Source organism: Homo sapiens, chromosome 1 (genome assembly GCF_000001405.40).
Source record: "Homo sapiens chromosome 1, GRCh38.p14 Primary Assembly".
NCBI classification, from domain to species: domain Eukaryota; kingdom Metazoa; phylum Chordata; class Mammalia; order Primates; family Hominidae; genus Homo; species Homo sapiens.
Window position 1 is genome coordinate 61,092,623 of NC_000001.11, and position 25,211 is coordinate 61,117,833.

The window sequence follows — 25,211 nt, forward strand, 5'->3', positions numbered from 1 at the left end:
CTCATTTCAAATTATTTAGATTCTTGCTAGTTTTGTTCTGCTGTACCTCATATTATTCCATTTCAGCCAAAAGAGAGCTACTCCCATTCAGGTGCATTTTAGTTTTATTTTGGCTTCGTGATTGCCATTCCTTCATATAGTAATAGAGAAAGCCGTGATATGCAGATAGACCAGATGGTCATGTTGACAGATTGAGAATTCACTTCCTACTGCTTCAGAGCAGGTGTAAGATTAGGAGTGTCTGTGTAGGGGCGTGTGTGTGCTTCGTGTGCATGTGCGTGCACATCCAGGCTGCACAGAGTGCTGTTTGAGCAATGGGAATGATTTCTTTTTTGAAATGCTAGTATTTTAAATACAGTGTAATTATACAGATAAGGTTTTCAGTGCATATAGAATATTATAATTTTTATAAATAAATCGCATTAGATTGTTACAGTTTATAATTTTATGCCAAATTAATTATGAAAATTATTTTAATTTTTAGGTAACTTCCTACATTAGTTTGAGGCAACATTGCATATCCAAAATATATTCAATATATTCTTTTAGCAGCTACATGTATGTGTGTTTACATTCAAATCTAGGACTATACGTTTTTGTAATTAAACTTTTTCAGTAACTTAATAAACACCCTAGTAGAAAGTTGTGCAGTTACTTCCTGTGATTTGTAATTATTAATAAAGTGTGTTTGGAAAAAGAATATACACTGTATATTGTATACACAATATACACAATATACACTGTATATTGTAAAACTAATATACAGTGATATTTAAATTAGGAGAGTAAGGATCACCCTATCAAACTCTAGCTTTAAGCTCAAGGTGGATTTTTTGGCTGATCAAGCTATTGTAAATTATTGATATATGGCATATTTTTAGAAATTTTAATTTATCTTTTAATTCTTCAAAAAAGATAGCAGTAGCAGTCAACAAATTTGAGATAAATATTGATTTTACATCCTTGAGTGTTTTCTGTGTAACTTGAGGATAGTAACAATATCCTTTACCTAGAATGTAGTAACAAAATCCTTTATCTGGAATGTAGTGCAAAAGATGGTAGTTCTAAGGCAGAGAGTGTACAGGAATAGGGAGAAATAGTTGTTCTGGAGTAAACCTTTGAATGGAAGTCAGTTCATTTATGGCTAAGAGGTTGAGTGTGTTGGTAAGAAAATTTCCCAATGCTTCTGGCTTGGATTTTCCTTGTCTTCTTTTCCACCCTGTGATGAATAGCATTAATTTAAACCTATTTAAGGCTAGTGTGGGAGAAACCACAGCCTTTGTTGTGGTCACTGCTGTACACAGTAGGACTGGGTGTTTCATTTGGTTAAGGCCTCAAGCTGCTTCCAGAGGACACGGGACAGCCTGTCGGCATTTTAAATCTTGCACAGAAGCAGCAACAATTCTAATTGCTCACAAATGTCAATATAGATTTTTGAAACCAATTTTGAGGATTAGACTAGAAGAAAAAACATAAAATGCAGATTGAGTTCAGTGAATGTGCTAAACACTGATTTATTACCATTTTAGTAATAATTTTCCCATGGTTATTTAAGGGTTAGAGCTTGCTTTTGAATTATTATAAATTGTAAACCCATGGGGGTTGAGTAAGGGAAGGAAGAAGTCAGGTGGAGGAGGAAGAGAATGAATGAACTCGTATGCTTTGTTAAAGAGAAACATAAAACCCTGAACTTAATCACAAATGGAGATACCGTAAAAGTATTTTGGTTTCAGTAATGACTGTAAAGCAGTCTTGGGCAGTGAGCTATCAAGTGGAGAATTTTATAATTTGTCTTCCCACAATTTTTTGCATAGCTTTTTTCAGACTAAGACACTATTTAGAGCTTTGGGAGTTTTTATTCAAGTTTTTAGGAAAAGGTTTTGCAAAAATTCTTTTTAGAATTTAGGAGTCCAGTTAGAGACATCATTGCACACTTAAGCTCAGAAAAGGGGCCATGGAGATGTTTATTCTTTTTACTATTTTGCTTTCTAAGGTGGCAGTTCAGAGTATTGTCAAATTTTTGGCTCTTTCCCAGTAGGCAACGGTAAGATACTCATTATTGATCCAAACTTTTGGGTCCCTGAACTTAACAGAATTATTTAGTTGCTGCTTAGACAGAAATGACTTTTTTCCTTAGATTTTCCCCAAAATATTAGAAAACAATTCCTCATGTTTTGTTTTAACTCCACAGCGTAAAGCATATTTTATCTAATGGAATTAGTCCTCCCGTTAGTGTTCTAGCTAAATAAACATGGCTTATGAAGTGAAGAAATAAGTCCAACAAATGACAAGTTGCAGCAACTCTGAAGCAGAAGATATTTTTGCTTTTCTGTTTGTAAAACAAGCTAAATAAGATAAAACTGAGAAAAAGAAGTTCATTTGTATTGTGTATTTTGGCAAATCTTGGTCTTCTTTAAAATGTTGCTAACCCTAAAACAAGAAATGATGAGGATAATTATGATAACTAGAGATTGAAGTGGAATAACTGTAATGTTCTTTGAGAACTTTAAACTTACTTCTTTTCATGTCTTTCAAATACTTCCCTAGTGGTAGATATTTTGGACCTAGATCAATTGGGAGTAGAGAAAAGGAGATGGAAGGAAGGAAAGGAAATAACTTTTATTGAATGTCTGTTCTGCAGCAGGCACTGAGTAAGGTTTGTCATAGTCATATATTGTAGCTTGCTGTCGCTTTCATAGCAGTATTATGAATTAGTAATGCACTCTCTATTTGAACGGATGAGGATAGACTCTTCAGAGTGGCCAGGTTACATGTCCAGAGCAAGATTCAAACCCAGGTCTTCTGATTTCAAATCTTATGCTCTTAAACAATTCAAATTCATTTTGTATCCTTCTTTATATCTTATTGTTTAGGGTTGGATGTCGTTTTCATGGTATCACACACCTGTCTTGAATCAAAGGGAAAGTAAAAAGTCAAAATCCAAACCCCTCCCATTGAGATATTTCACTGTCAAATTCAGATGTTAGCCACAGAATGAGGCCACACTTGATAAAGAGAGAAATGATGTTACACTTGTCACTGTTAGGGTCAAAATCTGAAATGATTTGTTCTTTTTTGTTTTTATAATGTTGAAATTTAGTGAATAGAAGCATTATGACACAGGTTTAAGATTTTTAGTTGTTGTTAAGACAAAGTTAAACTAATTCGTTCTAGATGCTTTGAGAAGCCTTTGTGTATTAAACTAAGCACTATTTTAAAAACTAAATTGCATGTAATTTTTACTATGCAGATTTTTGTACATGGTTTTATATGTACAAGACATAATATATATTTCTAATTTCCCCTATACATTACATATATTTTTATATATATATTTACAGACAGAGAAATATATATCTATTTCTAACTTCCCCTAATGATTGGATTTTAAAATGTAAAATTCACTTTGCTCTGAAAAAATCCTTTGGTTATGGCTGTGTGTGTAATTATTTAAAATAAAGCCAAAATCATGTTTGAGAAAAGAATGGAATTTTATTAGTTTAAAATTAAAAAATTAAAATAGGAAAAAAATTGAAGATGGACATGTTTCAATTTCGTGCCCTTAAATTAGTGAATTAGTGAGCTTTTTTTTGTTGTTGTTGTTGTTTGAGACGGAGTTTAGCCCTTGTTTTCTAGGCTGGAGTGCAGTGGCATGATCTCGGCTCACCGCAATCTCTGCCTCCCTGGTTCAAGCGATTCTCCTGTCTCAGCCTCCCGAATAGCTGTGATTACAGGCATGCACCCCCATGCATGTAATTTTTAGTAGAGACAGGGTTTCTCCATGTTGGTCAGGCTGGTCTCGAACTCCTGGCCTCAGGTGTTCCACCTGCCTCGGCCTGCCAAAGTGCTGGGATTACAGGCATGAGCCACCACGCCTGGCCATGAGCTTTGTTTCTAACTCTTTAAACTTAGTCAAGATTAGTTCTTTTTTTTTTTTTTTTTTTTTTTGAGACGGAGTCTTGCTCTGTCACCCAGGCTGGAGTGCAATGGCATGATCTTGGCTCACTGCAACCTCTGCCTCCTGGGTTCAAACAATTCTCCTGCCTCAGTCTCCTGAGTAGCTGGGATTACAGGCTCCCACCACCACGCCAGGCTAATTTTTGTATTTTGAGTGGAGATGGGGTTTCACCATCTTGGTGAGGCTGGACTCGAACTCCTGACTTTGTGATCTGCCCACCTCGGCCTCTCAAAATGCTGGGATTACAGGCGTGAGCCACCGCGCCTGGCGACAAGATTAGTTCTTAATGATTTCAGTGCAAAAACTCAAAGCCTCACTCAACATAATTTTTATAATTGTAAATAGAAAAAGATGACCAATAAGTATAATTTATACTATATTAAGTCATTATACATATTAATTCTTCTAAGGTTTAATTTAAAAATAAGCAGCTGAACTGAACTTACAGCAAAGAAAATAAAATAGCTTTCTTTTTAAGAAATATTAATGAATCTTAAAGTTAGGGTTGTGTAGCATCAGTTATGCTAGAAAGGGAAAACTGAGTTTGAGGCATGTGAAGAAAAGTGATTAAATTGGTTAAAAAAATAGTACTCATATCCTATTGTCAACTGTATCTAGTTCCATACTGTATGTATTTTTATATCTCTGGTAAGTGCTTATGGTGGTCCCAAATAACTTGTGAGTTTCCAGACATAGACAGTTCTCAGAGCATGTGTATTCATATAAATTTTTAAATGGCTATTGCTGTAGTGCTCTACAGGTTAAAAAAAGTGAGGCGAAATTGAAACATTTAAAAAATACTGTACTATTTAAAAATTTGTATGAATGTCTGTGTAGCAGCTGCCATTTTCAGGCTGTCTTTGTTGCTATGGTTTGGTTGATTTTATTTCCTTTTGTAATTTTGCCAGCCAGTGATTGGGTAGTACATTGCATTCATGCTGTTGGGGAAGATATATCTGTGGTGAGTCAGATAGCTTGATCTGAGTAGTAATTTTTAGTAGGGAAAGGTATTTGTCAGTGGGTAATAGAAACTGTAGTGTTACATTACCCATCTTCATTTAATTTTCAAATTTACAGACATGTCACTTAATATCAGAAATTCAGAACCATCTCTTTTGCAGTGATATGTACTTGCCTCTCTCCTTTTGTCCTGTCAGATGCACTTAGAATTCTGTGTAGTTTAATCTTAAAGGGATTAGTTATTTAATTTTAAGCTCCTACATAAAATGAATATTGTACATACAGGGTCCCATCATTGTCACTTTCAAATATTCCATTGCCTTTCAAAGGAGCTGACATGACAAGTCCTTAGGTTGACAAATTCTCATCAACTTTTATGAAAATGTTGGCTGCAGAAGGAGTAAAGTCAAAGGAGGGCCATAGACAGATGGCTTTCAGTGTTGAGATGACATCAAGCCCTTCTTCGTGGCATTTTTTAACATTCCAAATGAATGAGGGATGGAGATGCTTAAAGAGCTTACTATAGAATAAGTAATTAAGATATTGTGTATCTGCATGTAAACCCCTGTTGCATACTATTAAACAGAGTTGTGCAGGCTCAGATATAATAGCAGATTAACAATGACAATTGTAAATATCTTTTATGCTGAATGTAACTCATAAATAATATTACACATTAACATGTTGCTGATGGAAAACTGTGTACCTGAGAACATATTTTCAACATTAGATAATTGAGAACTAACGATAAGTGGGTTACCAGTGTTTGAAATGAAGCAAAGATTCTAGATAAGAACTTGGCAAAAGCTTATTTGCATAAGAAATTTTGCGTCTTTATATGACTATGACAAGATTTTTTTGGATGGATGCACACCATATAAAAATTACTAAGTTACTAAAGTTTCTGATGGATTCATTTAGTTGGCTTTCCTCCCCCTCTTCTTTTAAATGGTAGAGGTTCTCTTTTGGAGAGTAGTTTCAAGTAACTTCTGAGAATGAAGTCTTTGTAACGATGCTGTTCAACAGCGTAACTATTGTTGTGCATTCCTGTCAGGGAAAGATAGTCATTGCAGTACTTTTATTGTATGGCCTCTTAATATGTGACAAGGACTTTTATTAAGAATTCTTTTCTTAACATACTTTTAGAAGTCTCTCCTTTTCCCACATTCAATCAGTAACTACAGTTTTAAAAAAATATTTAAATGAACTTTTATTGATTTCTTAGCTTACTGTATAGACAAAAATCTTACGTTTAAAAAAGGTTTTAAAATTAATGTATTTTAGAGTTTCAGTAAAATGAAGTGGGAACAAAAATTAACAAAAAAGTGCCATCTCATTGGATCCAGGATATGTAGTAATACACACACACAGTTCTATGTCTGTGTAACCATATATATATATGTATACACAGTTCTTTGGAGAATGAGGATATTTCAGTCCAAAATGTTATGGTTGAAGAACTAATTGTTCTAAAGATATTTGCCCCTGGCCCCAGAAAAGACGACAAACATGCAAAATGGATAAATGTAATCCTTTGTACTTTTACCACCTACATTTTTAAACTACAGTAACTCTGATTTCTCTAGAAAGGTCAGAGGTTTCAGACAGAAAGCTTTGTAATTCTTCAAAGAAAGACATTTTCAGTTTGGCTGTATAAAGACTGATTATGCATAGCTTTTTACTTTATGTGCGGTTGAATCTTGGAGGTGCTGGAGTGGGGTGGGGACGATGAATAAGTGAAGCTGTGTTTTGAGACATTAGAATTGGAGGGAAACAGACAGATTGGAGAGGAACATAGATTCATATTTTTGGGCTTTTTACTATCAAGTCACCCAGTCTAAAACTCAGGACAGAGCAGCATTAACCATTCATTTTGCTTTGTGATAGAGCATTCGATTACCAACTCTTTAAACTCTTTTGGCAATTCAAGGAGGTTGCCTATCTGGGTACCATTTCTTAGGATTTGCTTTGTTGGATTTTCTAAATTGTGGATGTGAGTTTCTTTGGTTTTGCATTTTTTAAAAAAATTTTTTGGTCCTTTTTAACTTTTCCAAGTTTTGGAGAATTTTTCATGTTGGGCGGTGTTGGAGAAGTAGAGATTGTAGATGACCTTCGTTGTGGCTTACTCCTGTTATTTGGGAAATAGACGTTCAGAGAGCATCTCACTTGAGGCCACACCAACAGTTAAGAGGCAAAGCCAGCATTTAAGCCAACTCCCTTAGATCCCAGACTTTTGCCCTAAAACTATATTATTTAAATTATCTTTTCTTATGTGTTTTTAAATTAGCCCTTCATATAAACTTCAAATTTTAGGTAGGGGAGCTTTTATGGTTCCCTTTATGCCAGTGAGGAAACAGCCAGAGAGGTTGAGTAACTTGTCCAGGGTTATATGGTTAATAAGTGGTTAGGATTAGTAACTAGGCCAGACCCTTCTATGGCCTGTTTTTATCTCTAAGATGATCCCCAGTATGTTAGACTTGAAACTATGGATGGAGTGAAAAATATTCTCTGCAAATACATCAACACTCTGAAAGCCATTGTTTTCTCTGTTTAGAAAGTAGTTGAAAAAGTAGTGAGAAACTAGAGCTTTTTCTTTTCTGGTGTTAGTTTCAGCTTCCTACCTTGAAGGGAACCTTAAGGCCCAAACCTTCTTTTTTACATTTGAGGATTCTAAGTCCATGCATCTCGGAAACTATGGAGACGGGAACTTCTTGTGTGAGTTGGAGAGCAGTTGTAGACCGTTATCATTTCCATCGGTGCGGATGCTCTTTGGGTGGTGGTGGCATAGAAGATCTGTTTTGGTTACCTTTATTGACAAGCTCTACTGTGTGACTGGCAGTTCAGTTCAGCAGATAGGTTTCCAGCACTAATCTTAGGCACTGTGATAGATTCCCGAGATGCAAAACTGAAGAAAATACCTTGAGACAAGTCAGTGCCATCTCAGATATAATTTCCTCAGAAATCAAGATTTTAGAGCATTTGATGTTTTTAAATTAGAGTCCTTTCAACTAATAGCCTGTATGAAGTTTTTAAAACACTTATAAAAAATTTATGGTGATTATTATTATTTTGAGACAGGGTCTTGCTCTGTTGCCTAGCTGGAGTGCAGTGGTGCAGTCGTAGCTCACTGCTGCCTCAAACTTCTGGGCCCACACAATCCTCCTACTTCAGCCTCCTAAGTAGCTGGGACTAAAGGTGAATCCCAACACCCTGGGCTAACTTAAAAAAATATTTTGTGGAGATAGAGTCTCACTACATTGCCCAGGCTGGTCACTGAACTCCCAGCTTCCAGTGATCCTCCCACCTCAGCCTCTCAAAGTTCTGAGATTCTAAGTATGAGCTGCCAAACCTGGCCTATATGAAGTTTTAAACATTTGTAGAACCAGTTGTTAACATTGCTTTTTTTTTTTTTACCATAAAATTGGTATATGTCGAGGAATTCTATCGTTTGACTATATTTCTATTGTGTTAAATTTTTTGTTTTCTTATATCAAAAATATTTTTGTAAATGTAAAGAAAATTCAAGCAGACAGAAGATGGTGCAGGTGCTTTCTATTATTTAATAGTTCACCTGGCCAGGCACAGTGGCTCATGCCTGTAATCCCGGCACTTTGGGAGGCTGAGGCAGGCACATCACCTGAGGTCGGGAGTTCGAGATCAGCCTGACAAATATGGAGAAACTCCGTCTCTACTGAAAATACAAAATTAGCCGGGTGTGGTGGTGCATGCCTGCGATCCCAGCTACTCGGGAGGCCGAGGCAGGAGAATCGCTTGAACCCGGGAGGCAAAGGTTGTAGTGAGCTGAGATCGCGCCATTGCACTCCAGCCTGGGCAACAAGAGTGAAACTCCATCTCAAAAAAAAAAAAAAAAAAAGTAGTTCGCCACCATAGCATGTTTTCTCTAAAGAAAGCTGGTTGTGCACAGAAAAGTTCTATTTTTTTTAAAGGGCATCCTTCTAGTAATGCTGAAATATAAAACAAATAGCGTTATAGGAAAATGAAACAGCAGGAGAACGAGAGAGTAGAAAACAGAAAGGAAGCGAAGGCCTTGGAGAGCAGGCGGTAGTGAATTCATTTGGCAGTTCCTAAAACACAGCCAAGTCCCAGTAGCATAGCCACCTAAATTCCCTATTTTGCTCCTTCTTGGAAAAAAGTTAGCAGTCTCGAGACTTTTACGCTGAAGTGGATTTTAAGTTGTCAGAAGTGTCAAGCTGATTTGCCTTTTTTTCTCTCTTTTATTAAAAGAAAAGAGATACATACTACATTCAGACAGAAAGCATGTAAGGGGTCTTATAAGTGTGAGCATGTGTTAGTGGATTAATGGGACAATGTGTGTGGATGGTGATAGAAAATATGAGAGAACTATTGCTTGGCTGATAAATGAAATAACAACAAGAAAAATCTGGTGGCCCAATATATATTGGATTTGTTGTTATTCTCTGTTATATCTGCTGGTTGTTCAATCTGAAAGTGAAATCTGTTTCTCCATTCATTAATACGTGTGCTTTTCTTTGTATAGAGCACAGAACAAATTATTTGTTCCATAATTATTTTTAAAAAGCAGAAAATGTGTTTGTAACATTTAAGAAATGGCATGGGATTGTCATAGAAACTCATTCTGAACACTGTAAATAAAAATGGTTGGGGATTAGTCACAGTAACATGTAGGACATCATGAAATTCAAGACAGATTTCTTTGTCTAACAGTCAGTAAGAGACATGAAGCGAACTTGATATAGTTCATGAGATATTAGCAGTTCAGTTCCTTCAGAGAAAGAGAAAACCATGTTGCTTCATATTAAATAAGCCATCTGTATACAAATCTCACAATTTACTTGATGATTTTAGCAATATTTGATGTTTCCTTTCAGAGTCTTATTTCCAAATAATGAAAGCTTAAAAAATTTGAAAATCTCTCTGTTTTTGCTACTAAATCTTTAGAACCATATCCCTCCTTTTCTTCTTTCCCTATCTTATTTTTTGGTAATCTTGAATAGCATTTTAAAAGTTTTAGCTTTATTCTGTTTCCTTTAGTTTTCCCTTACTTCATATAATATGAATAAAACTGAACACATTAATGATAAATAGCCTTCAATAATACTATATATTTTTAAATATTTCAGGTTAGAATTATGAGTCTGCAGTATTACCATTAACATCTTTTTCTGTTTTTCTTTTAATCCAGTATTTAGAAGGAAATTGTTTCAGGGTACTTTTTTTCTCCAACTCTGTCCAACATCTGGAAGAACGATTGCCTGTCTTTAAATTTGGAATTAATCTCCAATTGCATACTCCTGCTAGGCTGATGTTTCAGTAAATTCTAACGCATCAGCCTCAGATCTTTGATTCCTTGAGCTTTTGGAAGTAGAAGTTAAAGTCTGAGAGGGTGTTTCAAGACTTAGGAAACTTAGTGCTGTGGAATGACCTGTGCATCTGACAAGGCCCCTTTAACAATGTTGTGTGTCACTGCATGTTCTTATTTGTAATCAAAACAGTAGGTACAATATTTCAATAAGGGTAAGTGTATTTAGACAAATGTAGCCTGATAAAAGTGGATAAATTACCTTTTGTGGTTGAGTTAATTAGTGAACACAACGAACCTTGAAACTGGTGGGAGCATGTGCAAAGACATATGTGAAAATGTTGGTACATGGAACATATGGAACCATCTTGTCTTCCTGCCTGTGTACACAGGTTCTATTGTAGTACAGGTATATGCACGCATATTTTTGTTTTATTCCTTGTAGTAGTCCTACTTGGGATGTCCTCACCCACCTTTACTTGGCTAACATTATTTATACTTTAAGGCTCAGCTGTAACATCATTTCCTCAAGGAAGCTTTCTTTTCCCCCCAAGGTTAGGCTAAGGACTGCTTCCCTGCCTGCCCACAGCATCCATTAGCAGCATATTAGTACTTGCCATTAGCACTTCCTTTATCATAATAAAACTATTTGTCTACATCTGTATTTCCAGATTGGGCTGTGATTTCTTTCTGAGCAGGGACTGGGTTGTATTCAGTGTTTTTGTACCCCCACATAGGGGTGCATAGAACCTGGCACTTAACTGTGCACTCAGTATCTTTGTTTAGCTGGTGACTAGATGAGAAATCTGGATTGAACAAAACAAGAACTTGAGAAGCTTATAATATGGATCTTAAAACTAGGTAACATATAAAATAGTTTTTGGGCATTTACCTTAGGACTGAATTTAAGCCTATGTTTTTTACAGAATGATTTTCCTTTCTCACCCTACCATGTCAATGGATTTCTATTTCTTCACCCAAATCCATAGTTTCATATTAACCCAAAGGAATTATTGACATGTAAGTAATTATAATTCTGAAAACAAAGGTCTGATGATGCTAGACAATTGATGATGCTAAACCATTTAGGCTATCTGTTTTTCCCTTTAAGATCCTGGTCTTGACTTTTATTTGAGCTTTTTATCTAGAAAAGATGATTTGGTGATGATGGAGTAATATAGTAACTGCTCTAGCTTATATGTGAGGGTATAATCTTTATACCAATAATAATTTATCAAGTGCCTACTATGTGCTGGGTACCCTGCTAGGGGAGGAAATAAAGGATTTCAATTTAATGCTATTGCATTTTTAAAGAGCACAATTTTGATTAAAAATTGACCCATTCTCTTCAGAGTGGACACTCACATTTTTTGTGGGTTTTGAATCACATAGTGTCTTGCTGTGCAGGAAAAGGGCCTGTCAGTCATGTCTTTATTTCTCTTGAGCATTTGTACGTTGTATGTCTGTCCTCACTTATCAGGGTGTTTTTGGCATGGTTACTTAATCCTAAGCTCTGAGAGGCACAGGAAGTAAAAGAAAAGTTAAAGATGACAATTAAGGTGTTGGGCCCAGTTAGATATAGTGAAGTCAGAATTTTCCCTCATTAAAACTGTTAGACCAATTTCATTAGACGGAAATGCACCCACATATGTAAATCTTCTTTGTTTAATTGGAGACCTATTGATTGTAGGTAACATAAGCCTCTCTAAGGGAAACAGAACCCAACTGAAGATAAGAGTTTCTTCCCCCCAACACATACAGCATTCATGATTTTATTTCTCTAGGCGTGTTCATTATCAAAATCATTCTACTGCAGACTTTCCCATAAAGTGTTTCTGTCTGGCCCTGTTTTCATATCTAAAAGCTTCTAGTGGTTTCAGCAAGAAATGATGGAAACATTTTGACAGAATATATATTTCTTTTTTTAAAACTAAGATCTTAAAATTAAAGAGAAACAAAAACTTACAAAATCACATGAAAATATAATGCTTTAAAGAGACTGAGAATAATTGTCTTCTTTTGTGCTTTCATAGAATGCTAAAAGAAACCAAATTCTGATCTTCTTTGGTGAGCAATCACCAAAAATATTGCAGTGGGGAATGAAAAATAGAATGGATTTTTAAAAAAACTTACATTCTAATTAGGTCTCAATGCTGCAGAGAAAATAGTGTACCAGTGCAAACTCTACACTGTGGTATAAGGCACAGGATTTTCCCGCTGCGCTTCCAAGGATAGGGTCATCCTATTATAACTGTTTAATAATAGGGGATTGTGTGTATTTTCTTATATATCTTCTTGCAATTCCATGTTTCTGAAGTGTGAGATTCAGGTCAAGGTCAATGTGTGGCCAGTTGTTTATAAAGTATTAAGAATCTCATGAAGGAGAAATACAGTTTAGATGTAGATTTTCTTACGATAACTCAAATTATGTTTAAATGACAAAAACTAGGTAGGTATTGAGGAGGTAAATATCTCTATTTTTCATTTCTTAACATTACACTACAATATGTGTAATATTTAGAATTTGAATTAGGAAGAACTTTAACTTTTTTATTCCTTAGGGTATTACTGATCTCTAAACAAGATGTTTAATTAGCAGAATTATAGCATCTTAGATAAAATTGGTTATTTTTAACTTAATCACGTAGTTGATGCTACAGAAATGAATTCATGGCCTTTCTTGTGGTGCTCGTCTTTTTCTTGTTTGATGTTGCTAGTTGAACACATCTCAGGTTGTGAGAAGTGCATATTTAGATGGGAACATCTTGGAGAGATCTTGATTGGTAGAGAGTAACTTTATATCAGTGAGTATAATGCTTATCAGTGAAATTCTAACTCATTTAATTATTACTTAATTTTCTGATTATGTTTTTGTATTTGAGAGAAGATTATTTCCATTATGGCAAAGTATGGATGGATGGACATTGCTATTGCCATTTCTTGACTTAGCACACCTAGGAAGGCATTTTGAAACATACTTTTTAAAAAAAGAATTGCATATCTGTGCACCTACAACAGTGGGTGTGCTGAAATTCTGACTTGGGTTTTGATGAAAGAATTCCCCAATTCAGTTAAATTCATCCTTGACTGTCGTGTGCCACTCATGTTCACTTGGTTAAAAAAAAATTGTTTTTTGGAGATTATTTGTAGAATCTCGGTTCTGTAACCAGATATTGAATATTACCACTGGAGGGAAGCTTTGAACTCATTTATCACCCTTCTGCCAAACCACAAAAATCCTCTCTCTCTCTCTCATGCATCTATCTATCTATCTATCTATCTATCTATCTATATCTTACTGATTTATTCATATATATATTTCTTCATATATATGATATATGACACTGTATATTTACAGCATATATATTACAGCACAGCTATTTACAGCAACCTGGATCATTCATTCTTAGCCCCTTCTCAAGAATGGAAGTTTATTTTAAACCAGACATAAACAGGACATAAAATGAAATATTAAAAGACTGGATAATGCATTTTAAGTCAGACATACATTTGGATAGCTGTTGTTTGAGTTTGTCCATGCTGGAGTTACCTCCTCCTCACTGCACCCTCCCTGTTTGCATGGGGAGCTGAGATTAGATTTTAACTACAAATTATTCACATTAGTCAAATAAAAAAGAATGACATTTCCCCCAAATTTGATTATTATTGTATTTTCTTGGAGAAAAAGATCGTGTTAGTAAAATAATTCAAAATGGAAATCCAAATGTATTTCTTTTAAAATTTTTCAAATCTGTTGCTAAAAAGCTGTAGAATATCGTGGAAAATTCTTTTATTGTAACAAACATTCCTGGTTTAATTTCTTATTTTCACTTTATTTTTAATATAAATATATATGTAACTTATAACACATAGTATGAACTGAAAATCTGTGAACCAAGAAAGATAACAACCAATACCTTTCATTTACCTGTGTGTTCTTTTCCTCTCCCATTACCCTGAAATTCCTCCTATTATCCTGAATTTTGTGTTTGTAATTCCCCTCCTATAAAATAAATGGTTTATCACTCATAGGTACTAAATATATTGTTCAGTTTTGCTTGTTTTTTTAAGTTTTATAAAAAATCATATATACACACATACATATACATACATATATATATATAAATACATATACACACACACTTCTGGGAATTGCTTTTTTTCACTCTACAATATGTTCATAATGTCATATATACTGTAATTTATTATTGTTTCTTGTGTAATATTCTGTGATGGATCTATAGAAGGTTTCCAGTTTCTTGGTCTTAGCAAGTGCTATGAACTGTAACATGTCTTCTAGAGCAAGTGTGTAAAAGTTTCTTTATGGTATGTGCCTAGGACTTAAATTGTTGAATTACAGGGTGTGTAAATGTTAAGTTTTTTTTTTTAAGAAAAGATAGTGATATTTTATCTTACTAACAAGTTATGCCTGTTTATACGATCACTCGCTGTAGCAGTATACAAAAAATTCTGTTGATCTGCATTCTCTCCAGAATTTGGCACTGCCAGATTTTTCTTTTTGCCAATCTTGAGGCTAAAAAAGAGTATTTCATTGTGTTTTTAATTTGCATTTATAATTTGATTACTAATGAGACTAAACATCTTTTTGTATATGTATGAGCCACTTTACTGTGGAATAAATGTTTTTGTCATTTATTCATTTTTTTCTATTTTATTGCTTATTGTTTACTTATTGGTTTGTAGGAGTTCTTTATAGATTCTGCATTCTAATTTTTGGCCAGTGTACGTTTGCCAATATATTTTCGTAGTTTCTGGCTTGTTTTAAAATTTTCTTCATGTTATCTTTGATCAACAAAAATTCTTAATTTTAATACAGTAAAATTTATCAATCTTTATCACATGGTTATTGCTTTTTTGTCTTGTTGAAGATATCCTTTTTTACTCCAAGTTTAGAAGTATATGGTATTTTTTGTATATCTTTTAAGTGTTCATCTCACATTAGGTTTGTATTCCATCCGGAATTTGTGTATGGTGTGAGGTAGGGATCCAATTTCATTTTATTCTGTATGAATGGACAGTTTTCACTTTATCACTTATTGAATAATTTCTCTATTCCCCAAATAATGTAAAATGATACCTCTGTCATTTATTTTTTATATTTGTGTATGTCTGTTTTTGGATTCTTTGCTCTGTTACACTGATCAACTTGTCTGCCCTATACCATCACCACAATTTTTCACTTACTAAGCCCTTATAATGAGTCTTGATAAAGCAAAATTTCACACCTCTTTTTGAAATAAATTTTTTAGTTATTCTTTACCCCTCACTATTCCATATATATCATGGCATTACTTTGTCAAGTTTTGTGAAACATCCTATTGGGACTTTGTTTAGAAATATATTGAATCTACAGATAAAGGAAATTGACATCTTTTTTTAACTATCAAATATTATTATCTATGAACATGGTATGTCTCTTCATTTATTTAGATCTTATTCTTGGTTACACTGAATTTTATTTTTCACCAGGTTTTGAACACTTTTGTGAAGCTGCTTTTGTAAATTGTTTTTAATATTTTGTTTTTAACTCTAATTTCTAGTATAGAAATACAGTTACTTTGTGTATAGTGATCTTATATTCAGCGATATTTACATATTTTTAGCCAATAATGTATTGGTAAGTTCTTTTTTGTTTACTATTTCGATAATCATATCAAATGCAAACAGTGAGAAAGATGTTCATTTCTATTCTATGCTTTTATCTTCCTTACCCTTCTCATTGCACTGAGATCTGCAACTCAGTGTTAAATTAACCTGTGATAGTGGGCATTCTTGATTTTTTTTTCTTGATTTCCTATTTATTTTTAATCCCTGAATGAATCAGAGTTAATGCCTTAATATTTAAATATTACTTTCGCTGCTCACATTTTAATCAGAGAAAGGACAAGACCTGACCTAGTTTTGTTAATTTTCCTCTTATTTTTAAAAATTTTATGGTTTGGTATATGCTACCATAATTGAAACCTCAGATTCTCCTCACAAATTACTTTATGCCAAGTGGTATAGTATCTGTTAATTAGTGGGTAAATAGTGTTTTTAAAGAATGCAGTCATCTAAAATTTCAAAATATAAGGCTCATTTGTATGAATTAATTATTTTAGGTATTTCAGGGAAAAGAATTACCATATTTCATACTGATGAGATTTTTTGATACTGTGTTGTGTGGCTCAGTCTCTTACGTTTTGATTTGAACTATAGAACCCTTAAGTAGCATTCTGTTTTTTACAATTTAAAATGTCTGGTTTGCATGGGTTTACTTTTTCCTTTTTCCTCATGTAATTTTTGTTAAGACTTGAATAGATTACTCTTCTAATCTTGTGAGCAGACTGCAGGAAGACAACTATTAAGAGTAGAAAGCTATTAAGCAGTCAGGGGTTTATTATGCTTTAGTGTTTTGTTTAAGTCTGTTCTTAATTGGTTGATTAATGTACGAGAAGTCCTTTTCCCCCCTCCATCTCTACAGATGGCAAATGGTAGGTCCCAACTGTCATTGTTCACAAAAAAGGTTATGGTTCAAAGTCAAAGATTCAGAGATACCACAATAATCAATCATAGGAACTTGTCTCAGAGTGCCCAGCCAGGCAAAAGTTAGGCAGAGTAATAATATTTACTGAGAATCTCTTATGAGTATTTTTTTTTGGTGTGTTCTTTATTTTATTTAGAAAATATTATTTAATTAATTGAAATGCCTCTGAATTTAGTGACAAGCATTTAAATAAATATGAAAAATAATGGTCAAAAAGTTTTCTGTTTATCGGTTTTATCAGATAGTGCTAGAATACATAATTTTAAAATGGGTGTAACACAGAAAATAACATTCTTAATATATTGAGATTAACAGAACATTTTCAAAGGAATACCTTTTTACCATTTTCATGTGAAGATTATTTATAATAGTTAACTTCCTTTTTTAGGAGGAAGAGTAGAATTATGTTCTGGTATTGATCCACAAAGAGGATTTGCATTTTATTCATACTATAAAAGTACCTTTAATGGAGACCTTGTGGTAATTGAATCTATACTGTGTATCACTATCAAAGTATCTTTTTAATTATTTTATGTTATACAATTTAAGTCATGGAAAGGGGGATGACTGTATTGTATCTTTTAAGTATAATGTATAGCCTTTAATATTCTTAAAGTGGATGTTAGTTAAGGACAATTTTTAGTTGAGAGAGAGTGAAAGAGAGAGAGATAAGGGGGGCAGAGAGGATTCCATTACATTCAGCACAGTATGAAACTAAGTCAAAGGAGTTTTGTTAATTAAATTCAATTGCCATCCATTAGACCAGTGGAATGAGATGACTCTGCCTGGTGCTGACACAGCACAGGTATGCAATTTGGCTAAATGGCCATTTCCAAACCATAGCACACATTTGTCTACTTGTTCACTTTTTTTTTTTTTTACATGAGAGTTTTTACTCTTAGAAAAGTCAAAGAGTAACCCAGTGCTTGTCGAGGGGTAAAGGTATCATTTTTATGCAGCATATTGTGAAGTGATTAATTTTTTAGGTGAAAAATATATAGTTCACATAGAGATTATTTGGGAGAAAATGATTTTTTAAAAAATATGCAGTATCTGCGGGCAAGCATACGAACAAATATATATACACACACACGTATCAGTATAGAAAAATGTGTACTTTTAAAATTCAGTTGTCTTAATCTGAAGCTATTTGAGTCATATTCTCTGGATTTTTTAAAGCATCCTACAATCTGTATATATAATTAGGGGAAGTTGTAATAATTGCAGGAGTTATAAAAGCGAAATTTAGGTGGTGGGTAAGTGTATCTACATTTTGGCATAAATCACTACTTTTAGAGGATTTATATGTCAGACTGATAAGTTTCTTACCATGGTGAAATGACAAGAATACCACTCAGGCATTGGCTGAGACATAATTTTGACAGCCAGCAAGCTTGCAGTGTTGCTGAGTGCACAGATTTCCACTTCCTGCCAAGATTAAAATTGGCAAAAACCAAAAAGGATATTAGGGATTGTCACTTTAAGAAGAAATAACATGTTAATGTTCTGCATTTGCTTAAGAAATGTAAGAGTGATCTCTTGAACTGTAGTCTGTTGAAACTTACAAGTTTGCAATCAATAGAAGAGTTTGATTAATATGAGCATCAAAAATTAAAATAAGTAGAGGCTCTCTGACACTTGTTAGAATTAAGACTCATTATAGGTTTACTTAATAGGACATAATTACTTTCCTTCTATATAAGATGAATTCTTCACAAAAGCTATGAAATAGTTTTCCTCACAGTCCCTGAAGAACAAAGGCCTACTTTAAGTTTGTAGATTTGAAGACTGAATGCTTGCTTTACTTCCTGAATTTTCTTATTTTTTCCTGTGTGAGCAGATGGTTTTTCTTTTTATAAGTTGCCAGATCTTTCCTATAACAATAACTGCCATTATTGAGAACCTACTGTGCGCTTATTCTGTACTGAGCACTCAGATCTTCAGAGTTTTTTCTTACTTAGGACTTTTTGTTTAACTCTAGGTGTAAAAATGAAGAAAAAATTATATCTCATGTTGTGAAAGAGTCAGACTCTGAAATCTGCTTATACTTTGCTATTTACAGTAAGTACTTTTGAAACAGCTGTAGACGTTCAAATGAAAGTAGCAATGTGGAGTGGGGAATGTGGGAACATTCATTTGTGAAGACTTTGCATTTCTTCAGCTTTATAGCCAACAGAAAAGGAGATTGTTGTGCATTCTATTAAATACTGCCAGTATGATTAATTTAAAGGGTTACATTTTATTGAACCCTGGTGTAGATGTTCTTTGTCAACCCACATTCACAGCTAGTTAGAGTGTGTGTAGCATTTATCAAAACTTTCTGGAGCCCCTCTCACCTCATTAGCATCTGAATCTCTATTCAGCAGTTAATGTCCGTTACTGCTAGAGTGCTCAATTCTTGTTTTCAATAAGCCAGTTGTAAAATGTCAGACTGTCACTTACAATATAAAAAACCAAAAATGATGGTATTTGTAAAAATGTTATCACCTCATAAAAACAAATTGTAAAGACATGAAAGTGATCTTGCTATGCTGGTCTTTCAGAAGTGAGTTAGTACAGCTACTTTAAATACCAGTTGTGTAGATTCCCACACTTTTCTACCAATGGAGAGGTTTACACAAGCATAATTTAAGTTACAATTACACTAATTAACATCTCATTTGCATAAATTGTTGAAGTCAAAACAACAAAGAATTGTCTAAGAAGCTTAATCCTATTTGTCCAAAATAGAAAGATTTTTTTTTTTTAAAAAAAAACTATGCTCTAAAAATTGGCAGCTTAAGTATGTCTTTAGTATGTTGAGCTGTGTCCTTTTAAAAATAAATGTTTTCAATTTTCTTAATAATATATTTCTCTATTCTTTTTAGAATCCTTCATTTTTAGTATACTTTTAAAATTGAACACACACAACACTTTGGTTCCTAAAGTAATGATAACAAGAAATTAAAATCAAGGTACAGTATCATTTATATGTAGTAGTACAGAGTAACCATGACTTACTAGGTGTTATGATGAAGGTGTATGTGTGTGTATATGTGTGCATGCATGTAGATAAGTGTGTGCATTTGCACACATAAGAGTTTTAAGCTGCTCCTGTCATTTATTGATGGTCAAAGGTTTCTTTTGGCTATTGCTGGACTCTTAAGATTGTCTTGTAATTGTCTTTTTGTTGTTGTTGAAAATTAAGGGTGTATATTAAAGGTAGTTTTTACCCAGATCTTATATGTGTGATAGCTCACATCTGTAATCAGAAACTTACTGTTTAATGGCCACCCAATTGCCATTAGCTTCCTAGAGGGTGATTTAATAAACTATCTTCTTTAAAACTCATTTAAAATTAGAGACATGTTTGCATACAATGGATTAATGACGTTTTCATACTAACCCACAAAAGTCTGCTGCACTTTCTTTTGTAGGCCTAACATTCATTTCATATGCATTGATTATTATTGTTGAACTTGCATTAATTACATCGTGCATATATGGACATACAATGTCATCTGCAGAATTTAGGATTTTTTATTGTTAATTTTTATAGTGACTGTGGATTGAGGAATTAAAATTAGCATGCTTCATTTATAATAGTATTTCTAGTGTTTCATTAGCCCTAAAAATGTGATAAGATCAGGAATAAGATTGGAATGAAAATTTCTCCTTAAAATGGTACGTCTTTTGAAAACATTTTGTTTATAATATATAGCTAATCCTAATTTATTACAGTCTTTCAATATATTCTTTAATTTGATTCTATAAGGCTTATAAATCACTGTCTTTGAGATAAGTTTCTTAATTCACAGGTTTGTATCAGTTGTACTAGGTTTGGTGAAGGATGTCATCCTAGATATACAGTGTAGACGTGCTTTATGAAACATACTTCTTCTTAGGGACATTTTTAAATACCAAATGAGAATATGTTTGGTGGGCCAGGTGCAGGGGATCACACCTGGAATCCCAGCACTTTGGGTGGCCAAGGCAGGTGGATTGCCTGAGGTCAGGAGTTTGAGACCAGCCTGGCCAACATGGCAAAACCCAGTCTCTTCTAAAAATACAAAAAAATTACTAGGCATGGTGGCAGGCACCTGTAATCCCAGCTACTCTGGAGGCTGAGGCAGGAGAATTGCTTGAACCGTTGAGGCGGAGGTTGTAATGAGCTGAGAGTGCACCATTGCACTCCAGCCTGGGCAACAAGAGTGAAACTCCATCTCAGAAAAAAAAAAAAAAAAAAAAGAGAATATGTTTGGTAGAAATCTGAAAGAGAATTTATGCTGAATTGAGACCATTTGGAAGGCTTCTTGGGTAAAACTGATTTGAGTTGTGGATGAAGGATTGTTTGGAAATGAGAGAATGAGCAGAGGCCATGGTGGAGAGAAGAGTTGGAGAGCAGGTGAAAGGCGTGAGCACAGCTGCAGAAGCAGACATATGCACGATTTGTCCTAGAGCAGGTCGGTTGGCGAGTTTGGTTAGAATGGGGGGTTTACATAGCGGAGGGTATTGAATGCCAATTTAAAGATCTAGGCAGTAAGAATCATGTAGGGTTTTTGAACAGGGATATGACATGCTTCAAGAGGTTTTTTTTGAAAGGATTAATCATGAAGTCCAAATGTAGGGAGCATTGAAAACAAGAGTAGAGTGACAGACAGTGGAACAGTAGCTTTGTCTCGGCACAAAATTATAAATCATGATGGTTTTTATTTCCTGTGCCCTGAGTAATATCATAAACAAAATATACAAAATGGCAAGAGCACTTTTGAGATAATACATGGTTTCTGATTCTGAGTAGTACTTGAAACTTCAAAAATAACATTATACGATAAAACACATGTTATTTCTTTGTTATCTTAAAATAGCAACAAATTCTATATACGTAGAAAGACCTATGTAGAAAAAAAATGAACATTCTAGCCTGGACAACATAGCAAGACCCCATCTTAAAAAAATTTTTTTTTTTTAGTCAGCCAGGTGTGGTGGCCTTTGCCTGTAGTCCCAGCTACTCAGGAGACTGAGGTGGGAGGATCACTTGAGCAGGGAGATTGAGGCTTCAGTGAGCCTCAGTTGTACCACTGCACTCCAGCCTGGGCAACAGAGCAAGATCCTTTCTCAAAACATAAAGCAAAAAACATTATTTCCTTTCTCCTTTCAGAGGAAAATTATTTCCAGATTATTTTTTCTTATATTTTTTTAAAAGTTGGCTTTAAGGGAGCACGTTTCTCTTTGAGGGTGGCCTGTTTCATTGTCAATATTTGCTCTTCATTGGAAGCTGAGGTCATGTCAGAGTTACTCAGGAGAAAGACCTGGACTTTTCTTCTTATCTTTTAATGGTTTATCATTGATAAGTTTGGACATGGTATGCATGGTGACTTTTTTCACTCTTGTCACTTTTCTATATTTACCTTGTTCATAGTATGTAATCTGAGTGCCTTCAAGACACTAGAAAAGATTTGATCTCAAACACCACATTTTGGGTATTTTAATATAATCAGGAGAAAAGTGGATATAATATTCAGACAGGAAGCTGGAATACACTGGCATAGGTAGAAGTATTCATTTCAACATTAAGTGAATATATATATATTTGTTGTTGTTTGTTTTGTTTTGTTTTTGTTTATTTTGGTTAGAATCTCACTCTGTCACCCAGGCTGGAGTGCAGTGGTGCGATCTTGGCCCACTGCAACCTACACCTCCCGGGTTCAAACTATTCTCTTTGCTCAGCTTCCTGAGTAGCTGGGATTACAGGCAAAGGCCACCACGCCCAGCTAACTTTTTGTATTTTTAGCAGAGACGGGGTTTCACCATGTTGGCCAGGCTGATCTTGAATTCCTGACCTCAGGTGATCCACCCACTTCAGCCTCCCAAAGTCCTGGGATTACAGGTGTGAGCTACTGCACCCAGCCGCAAATATATATTGATAACTTACTGGAAGTAAGGTAACATGGTACAGGTTGGTAGAAGAAATATAGAGAAAAACAGGAAGCTGGGCTTCCCTTCCAGATGTCCCTAGATTCAAAGGGGAAGAGGCAAAATGTATTAAATGCTGTCTTACACATAGACTACAAGGGATTTACTTGGCCAGGGAGAGAACAGGGTTGATTCTGAGCTGGAGAGAATGAGGATGGCTTCTGTGAAGGAGATGACCTAAAGCAGGGCCTCGAAGGTTGGCAAGGGACTTGCAGGGACAGAGCATGGAGATGGGCATATGTAGCGTGTGTTCTGGACACGGCACGTGGAGGCAGAGCACACATGCATAGAGTGTGTAATGCTTCACTTCCATCCTTGTTCCTTCAGCAAGCACCCGTGCTTTACCTCGTGCTGACCCTTGAGCAAGGCTGCCCGTGAGAAACTTCCCAACTTCATGGGCAATGTTGAAAACATTTGTCCACTTGCCCTTGCCCCAGAGAGGGAGAAGGTCCACATATGGTGCCTTTGACATGTTATCCCTTGGCATAAAGTTTGGCCCAAATGTACATTTGAAACCTCACGTTCCCTCGATAAATTTAAAGTATGAAACTTTTGAAACTCTAAAAAGGTGGTGAAGACCACAGTTCTCCCTGTTCTTTTTCTTCTTTCACTCTGCAGCTGGATTCTGCCTTTCCTCCAGTGGTTATCTGAGGAGTGTCTGCCATGTCTTCTGTTTTTTTTTTTTTTTGCCTTGTTTTGAGGAGTCCCCTTTTTTCCTCCCCTGGGAGAGTTTAAATATGATGCTGATTTCTTGTCATCTTAGGGCTCCTCAGCTACAACAAAGTTAAATGGTATAAAAGCAAAGCCCAAATTAGAGACCCTAAAATAACCTTGGAGAAGGAGAGTTCTCAGTTATCAGTAGAATTGTCTTAGGAATTTGAGGAAGCCCTTGTATACAGTGAAAATGAGACCCTAAGTTAATTAACAAAATGAAAATAACTTACAGTACATATCTGCCACTTCCAGTACTGCTATAAATAATTGCAAGTGTAAGGATTTTTAGTGCAAATATGCAGAAAACATGGGCATAGAAAGTTTAGATGACCTTAATGAAGAAACAGAGTTGGCTCTGAAACTGTGCTTAGCAGGAACAACGTTTTGTGCACTTGATAAACACTGTCAGTTGTTAAGGCATCTTCTGATAGGTGAAAAGCGGTTTTTTGATGCAGTACTGCCTGGCATGCATCTTCTCGATGGTCTGTTATCTTGTGGGAATGACATTCGTTAAGTTGTTTTCTGTGTGCATCCCACCCAAATAAAGAATGTTTCATCAGCAAAGTGAATTGCCGTATAGTCATCAGACTCTAGAAATAAATTATCAACGATGACTGCAGTGGGTGAGGCTGTTTGTTTATCACATCACTTGAGAACAGAGTAAAGTGAGTTTCATATTTTCCTGAGTCTTGAATTCTCATTTTAGACATCTGTTCAGAAGCTTTCTAAGCCATGGAGTATTCTAAATGAGCATTTTGTTAAATGGATGAAGGAAGACTTAGTTTTCCATTGTTAGGTGAAACCTAATTAAAAATTAAATAATGACCTTGTGTTGGCTTGTAAATTCCTTATTTCCTGCATGTGTGAGTGTATTTTGTTAGAACATTCCATTTTAAAGCATGCCTTTTTTATGACAAGAAATACTTTTAAAATACTATTTGCTTTTGAAATTACAGTAGGGAATCAAAGGATAGTCTCTTGTTGAGAGGAAGGTATTAGAAGCATGTAGCTTTATGAACTATATTTTCTGTGAATATAGCAGAATTAGTTTAATTGTTCAATTTCACCCTCTCCAGCATGATTGCACCCATCAGGGCAGTTAACAGAGACACCGCTATTTGTGTTATACTAGGAATTCTTTATAAACTTAATAAATGAAAGCTTTTTCTCTTATAGGCCCGATTCTCTAGTGGACTTCTGGTGAAATTATGTGGCTACCTTCCATTAATGTTAATGGAGGTTATGGATATAAATCCCTCCATAGTGATGGAAGAATGAGCCCCAGAGAGAAGAATGTTTCTAATGAATCACTGGATTGTGATATAGGATTAACTTGGTGTCCCTAATACCATTTTTTTTTCCTCCTGAAAGTTTAAGGTCTTATGTTTAGGAACTAGTTTCTCTCCACCTTAATCCTTTATTGTCAAGTCTGCAATAATGTTAAGAACAGGAAAAAAAAATGTAGATTCCTGGATAGGCACAGTTTTTATATTAATGTAACTATATAGGCATAGTTTTTATATTAATGTAACTATACAGCACCTATTTTTGTGTTTTACTATTACTTGGCAGACATCTTGAGTGTTTTACAAGGTTATCGTATATTTCACTAATAATCGTTGCTTGATAATTTGGTGTCCTGACAGACTGCAGTTTATTATTTAGTATTAAAGCTCTCAAATGTATTTATTGAGCACCTGCTGGGTACAAGGCTTTGAGCTTAGTGATGAAAGCATATGACATAGTCTGTAGCCTCAAATTTTCTATAATCTCGT

General features: G+C 34.7%; 1 protein-coding gene across 4 annotated transcripts in view, besides 1 other annotated feature; it reads left to right on the forward strand.

Annotated features, from left to right (window-relative positions):
* The window catches only part of NFIA (nuclear factor I A), a 385,562-nt gene that overhangs the window by 15,396 nt on the left and 344,955 nt on the right, over positions 1–25,211 (forward strand). The gene's annotated exons all lie outside the window — the stretch shown is intronic.
* Positions 21,955–22,249: a silencer, noted in NCBI's record as "tiled region #2485; HepG2 Repressive DNase matched - State 5:Enh". NCBI's record gives its function as "represses a minimal TATA promoter and a strong SV40 promoter by Sharpr-MPRA in HepG2 cells {active_cell/tissue: HepG2}" and the evidence as "EXISTENCE:reporter gene assay evidence [ECO:0000049][PMID:27701403]".